This window comes from Homo sapiens, chromosome 1 (assembly GCF_000001405.40).
Source record: "Homo sapiens chromosome 1, GRCh38.p14 Primary Assembly".
Taxonomy (NCBI): Eukaryota; Metazoa; Chordata; class Mammalia; order Primates; family Hominidae; genus Homo; species Homo sapiens.
The window spans coordinates 116,249,210-116,256,038 of record NC_000001.11 but is presented as its reverse complement, the minus strand read 5'-3'; positions in this window follow the sequence as shown (position 1 = coordinate 116,256,038).

Genomic DNA, 6,829 nt, shown 5'->3' with positions numbered 1-6,829 from the left:
TAACTTGCCTAGTGTTACATAGATAGCTAGTGACAAAGTTCAGACTAAAACCTTGATTTCTTCACTCTCATTGCAGTGTTATTTCCATCACTTCATATGGTTTCAAAATTGCGCATTTCCCAGATCCCTCCTGTAAGACTTTGTCCCAGGACCCAGCACTGTAGACCCTTTGGACAGAAGCCAGCACCTCAAGGAGAGGCAGGAGAGGAGCACCTGGGGAGGCTGGGGGATGGGTCTGCCCTGCAAGTTAATTTTATTCACTTCAATGGGACCGAATGGAATCAGAGCATTAACGTGGTGAGTGTGTCTCAGAGCTGTCTAAACCAGTCCTGAATACTAACCAGGGAGCTTAGATGGAGCTAAAAATAACTGGCTAATCACCACCAGGAAGAATTAACAAGGATTCTGAAGAAAGGAAAATGTCTTAATATTCCATCTCTCTAGCAGCTGGGCTCCAGCTGGGACTGAAGTCTCCTCCTGGCTTCCACAGGGCAGGTAATTAGGCAGTGCAGAAGCTCCCGCACTTAGAGGAGCTGAAGTGTGGCTGGGGGGTGGGGGGCGGCCCAGCCTTCAGGAGGGTAAACGGAACAGGGTTATTTGGGGTGATGTGAGTTGGAAAACTGTGAACACAAAAGCAATGTGCTGTGGCAGGAGGCAGGTTTTGAAGAATAAAGTAGTTGTTGCAGTTTACAGCCCTTCTCCAAGAAAGCAAAATCCTTAATTAAAGGAAAATATCATTGTATTTTGCTCTGCAAAATCCTGAGAGTCTTCCCTTCCCTAGTGCATAAAGACCTGGGTCTGAAGGCACCACTGAGGTTCACGCACTGGGGACCATGTTGAAATGGGGTCCCCCTAGCAATTTCCCTCTTTGGACAAGGATCAAGGCAGACCCACAATAGACTGAGCACTGTGATAGAGCAGAGCATGTGAAACCACGAAAGGCACAGCTAGAATGATTCATTCACATAACTTGAAAGAGTAGGATTAGGAACAATGATTACATGTTGTAAAAGGTCAGTTGAAAAGAAATAAAGAAATATTATTTTGTAAAGGGCAGGGTAATGTTCAAAGTTTACTTCCTCTATAAAGTTGTAAACTATAAAGTATATGGGACAGGTTTCAATCAATTTAGAAGTTTATTTTGTCAAGGTTAAGGATTATGACCTGTGGCACAGCCCCAAGAGCTCCTGAGAGCATGTGCCCAAGGTGGTTGGGTTACAGCTTGATTGTGTATGTTTTAGGGAGACACAAGACATCAATCAATACATGTGAGGTAAGCATTTGTTGGGTCCAGAAAGGCAGGACGTCTCTAAGCAGTGGATGCGGGGGCTTTCCAGGCCATAGGTGGATTCAAAGATTTTCTGATTGGCAATTGGTTGTAAGAGTTACTACCTAAAGGCCTGTAATCAATAGAAAAAAGTTGTGGAGACTGAGGTTCTTAGTACATAGAGGAAGTTTCATAGGTGGCCACTCTTACAGGCAATAGATGGCCATGTTTCCTATTCAGACCTTTAAAAGGTGCTAGACTCTCAGCTAATCTCTTCAAGATCAGAAAAAGACCTGGAAAGGGAAGGGGATTCTCTACAGAATGTGAATTTCTTCCACAAAAGACAGCTTTGCAGGACCATTTCAAAGTAATGTCAAAGAAATATATTTTGGGATACAATATTTTGATTTCTTTCAAGTCCTGCTATCTGCCATGTGATGCTACACTAGAGTCAGGTTGGAATTTGGTATCTTATTGCTACAAAGAGTCTGTGTTGTCAGTCTTAAGATCTCTCTTTTAATGTTACTGCTGGTCAGTTGTGCTTGAACTCCAAAGGGAGGAGAGTTCAATGAGGCATGTCTGACACTCCCTTCCCATCATGGTCTAAACTAGTTTCTCAGGTTTCTTTGGAATCCCCTTAGCCAAGATGGGGGTCCATTCAGTTGGTTGGGGGCTTAGAATTTTATTTTTGGCTTACAAGGTATAAATGGATTTAAATAAATAAGTATACTTTGGTGAAAGCAGCAGTCACCAACCTTTTTGACACCAGGGACCCGTTTTGTGGAAGATAATTTTTCCATGGATGGGGCAAGGGTGATGATTTTAATGTTCCAACTCAGAGCATCAGGCATTAGATTCTATAAGGAGCGTACAACCTAGATCCCTCACATGCAGAGTTCACAACAGGGTTTGCACTCCTATGAGAATCTAATCAGGAGTTAATGCTCGCTTACCTGTGGCTCACCTCCCCGGACCTGGGGGAGGTGGGTTGAGGACCCCTGGGTTAAAGGACTCATGAATGACAAATGCATTATTAAAAACAACTGCCAGTGAGAAACTGTGTGGGAGCACATCTCTAACTATTCAATTTCACATCGTGACAACATAATATTGGTTGTGATGCATCCCCCAGTCCCTGTACTTGGTGAGTTCAGGGGCTGCATCTGCTGGGATCTAAAAAAAAAAAAAAAAAAAAGGGCAGAGTGATGTAAGGGAAAAAATTGTGGATTTTAAAAAGAAGAAGAATATGGACTTTGGATGCAGAAGACAGATTCAAGTCCTGCTTCACCAATTTTTAGCTGGATGTCCTTGGCAAAATAACTTTCCTCTCTGGGCCTTTATTTTCTCACTTGCAAATGTAGATGGTAGGAATATCAGTTTCTCTAGGTTGGAGTGAGGATCAAACCACCTAACACAGGTAAGAACACTTCATTCATTGTAACAAGTGGTACAGATATTAATGACTCTTATCCTGTGGCAAGAGACTGACATGAGCTGGTCAGGACTGGGCAATCTTTCTAATCCACAGATCAGGACAAAAAAGCATTTAATGCTCAGTCTCCATCTCTACACCTACTTCCCACCACAGTCCTCCTTGGTTAGGAGGGTCTCATCATCCTACTTTCTTTTTTTGCTGTGTATTCTGACCCCAGGACTCTAGTGACTGGGTCCACCACCACCATGGCCTATGGGAAGGGTGCTATTGGTGAGTTGCAAGGAGGCCAATTTCTGGACCCCATTGAGTCTCTTGTGTTGTTTTCTCACAGGCAGAGAGGCCCCCACCTGCTGCATGAGTCACATTTAATCCCTAGGGAAAAGAGGGTAGTCTCAATTTTAGAAGAGAAAGCCTTCAGAGGATTCTTCCTGGGGTGCTAGAGAAAGCTGGATTTGGAGTTATAAAAGATCCACTGGTCTTGTATTGCTTCTCATCCCAAATCACTAAATTTTTTTTTTGTCTGTCTGACATTATTCAAAACTCCTAGATGGCATAATGGCATTAAAAGAGAAAAGAGTAGAAATCAGAAAACCTGGTTAAAATTGCAGCTGTGTCACTCCCTAGTTGTATGATATTGGGAAATAATTTAAGAACACTGAGCTTCATCTGGTAAGAGGAGAAAGAGGTTCTTCTTGTTATCTCATAGGGCTGCTGTGGGGTTCAATTGAGGTAATACATAGGTGACAGTTATGAACTATATTATCTCATTCAGATGTGAGGGTAATTCATTTTTTTCAGCTGTTAGGTAGATGATAATTCATTAACAGCTTGCATTAGCATGGCACCTTTTCTTTTATGGTCGAGTTTATTAAGGCATAAATTATTGCATGAAGTTTGCCCTTTTAAGAGTTTTGACAGAAACCCAGTTGTGCAAGCACCAATACAGGGGCAATCACTGATTTGTTTTCTGCCTTTATAGTTTTACTTTTTTCAGAATGTCATATAAATTGAATCATACAGCAGGAAGCCTTTTGAGTCTGGCTTTTTTTCACTTAGCATAATGCATTGAGGTTCATCCAGGTTAATGTATATATCCAGGAATTCATTCCTTTTTATTGCTGAGTAATATTTCATTCTAGGGATGTACTATACTTTCTTTATCCATTTGGGTTGTTTCCATGAATAAACCACTATTAACATTTGTCTACAGGTTTTTGTGTGATCATAATTTTTTACTTTTTTGGGCAAATACCTAGGAGTGGAATTGCTGGGTCACGTGGTAGGTGTTTGTTTAACTTTATAAGAAACTGACAAGGTTTTTAAAGAGTGGTTGTAGCATTTTGCATTCTAGCACAGCACTTTAAAAAATCCTAAAAAATTCAAAACACTGATGTATTTAATTTAATTTTATCCTCCAATAAGCTCTGTGAGATAGGGCAGGTAAATATTTCTATTCTTTTGCAATAGGTGGGAGCTTGAGGGCTAAAGAGGAGAAATGGCTGGCCAAAGGTCAATGTGGCAGAGCTGCTACTGTTCCCAATATATTATCCTCTCTCCTTCTTCCTTTGAGCAAAGGGTCCCTTGATCCCCACTGAGTTTTGGCTAAGCACAGAGTACCCATACAGAATCTACATTTCCCTGCTTCCCTTGCATACAGGAGTGGGCCATAAGACTAGAATTTGGGATATGAGTAGGAGTGATACTCCAATTTGCTTCCTACAGGCTTTCTTTTTTGTTTTGTTTTTAATTTTTTTTTTAATTTTTGAGATAGAGTTTTGCTCTGTTGCCCAGGCTGGAGTGCAGTGGTGTGATCTCGGCTCACTACAACCTACGCCTCCAGGGTTCAAGCGATTATCTTACCTCAGCCTTTTGAGTAGCTGGGGTTATAGGCATGCACCACCACGCCCTGCTAATTTTTTTTTTTTGAGACAGAGTCTCGCTCTGACGCCCAGGCTGGAGTGCAGTGGCATGATCTCGGCTCACTGCAACCTCTGCCTCTTGGGTTCAAGAGATTCTCTTGCCTCAGCCTCCTGAGTAGCTGAGACTACAGGTGTGTGCCACCATGCCTGGCTAATTTTTTGTATTTTTAGTAGAGACAGGGTTTTACTGTGTTAGCCAGGATGGTCTCGATCTCCTGACCTCGTGATCCATCCACCTTGGCCTCCCAAAGTGCTGGGATTACAGACGTGAGCCACCGCACCTGGCCAATTTTGGTATTTTTTTTTAGTAGAGATGGGGTTTCACCATGTTGACCAGGCTGGTCTCGAACTCCTGACCTCAAGTGATCTGCCGGCCTCAGCTTCCCAAAATGCTGGGATTACATATGTGAGTCACTGTGCCTGGCCCATGCTGACTTTCTATACTAATTTTTCATATTCTCTTTTCTCTTTCCTGCTAGCTGGAATGTGGTTGTGGCTGCAACTTAACTTGGATTTGCAGATGGAGACAGTACAAAGTGGAAGAAACCTAGATCCTCGATTGATCTCATAGAACAGAGCTTCTCTGTCAGCCAGGGCCACCAGACTGTTATGTGTCTTTTACTTACTCCAATGTAATTTTGGGGTCTCTTTGTTATTGCAGCTTAACATTTACCCTGGCTAATACAGTCCCATATCACATTAGTGGAAACACATTATAGCCGGTTCACACAACTTCATCCATCTTATTCAAAATATTATTAAGAAAAAAATTGGCTTTGCTAAAATATAGATATGCCATGTCTATATCAATCCCCTGATCTAACAGTTTGATAACCCCTATCAAAGACAACAGTGAGTCCAGGAAGTGGTATTAATATAATGAATGTATTTTCCATGAACCCTTATTAGCTCCTACTGATCACATCTTCTAATCTTCCCAACCAACCATTTGCATTTCTCTAGGTGCATACCTTTTCCAACCTCATGAATGTCTGGCCTACTGGTCTATGATGAGAGGCATTTATTTTATTCATAGAGATGTTCATCTGGAGGACTAGCAAGAAATGAGGTTGTTAGAGGTGAGAATGGTTACTCAAAGTCTGTAGAGGTAAAATGGAATCACTTGGACTTCATGGGTTAAGCAGGAGGCAGAAGGGGACCGAGAAGATAAAAATGTAGTTTAAAGAAGATACTCTGGCAGTTGTGTAGTGAGTAGATTGGAGGAAAAGGGTCCAAGAGTAGGAGGCCCACTCAGGAGGTGTCTAAGTCCATTTGGGCTACTATAACAAAAATACCAGAGACTGGGTGGCTTTAAAAAACCCAGGCATTTATTCTCAGAGTCCTGGAGGCTGGGAAGTCTAACATGAAGGTGCCAGCAGATCTGGCGTCTGGTGAGGGCCCCCCTCCTTGACCATAGCCAGCTGTCTTCTCACTGTGTCCTCACATGGCGGAAGGGCTGAGGGAGTTCTCTGGGGTCTCTTTTATAACAGCACTAACCCCATACATGAAAGCTGAGCCCTCATGACCAGTCACCTTCCAAAGGCCACACTTCTTCATGCCATTGTCTTGGTGGTGAGGATGTCAACCTATGAATTTTGGGAGGACACAAACATTCAGTCCACACCAGGAAAAAATTGTGATAGATAGCTATGGGGAGCTGGAGAGTGTGAAGGAAGAGCTCGGTGACTGTACATCGTGTGAGAGAACAAGGAGCCAGCACTGAGGAGGAAGTGGATGGGCTAGCCTTCGCTTACAGGGCCCCTGAACCAGGCTGTTAAAAGCCTCTCCCAGGGCCACCCACAGCCCCCACGCATTCCCTGTCCTGCTTTCCTGGTGAGTACTTACTAGCAACTCCATATTTGTTCAGTCTTCAAATCACGGAACAAGAGCCAAATAGGGCCTGACCTATCCTCTAGTAACACAAAATATGCCAACCAGGACTCCTGAATACGAGAGCAGCAGGTGAAGGACAGGGGAGGTTCCGATAGGTCATGGGGAGCACTTCGGGCCTAAAGATGAGTATGTCTTACTGAAGGTGGTATTTGAATTAGTAGAGTAAATCCCACCAAATAATCACATATAAAGAAGTGATTCGATTTATTCGGGTTATTGGATTAATTCAATTTGTCTAGGACCTAAATGCAGTCTTGTAGAGGGGAAGTAAAGCTGCTTGAAGCCTATGGATAAAGATAAGAAGTGAAGGGTAAG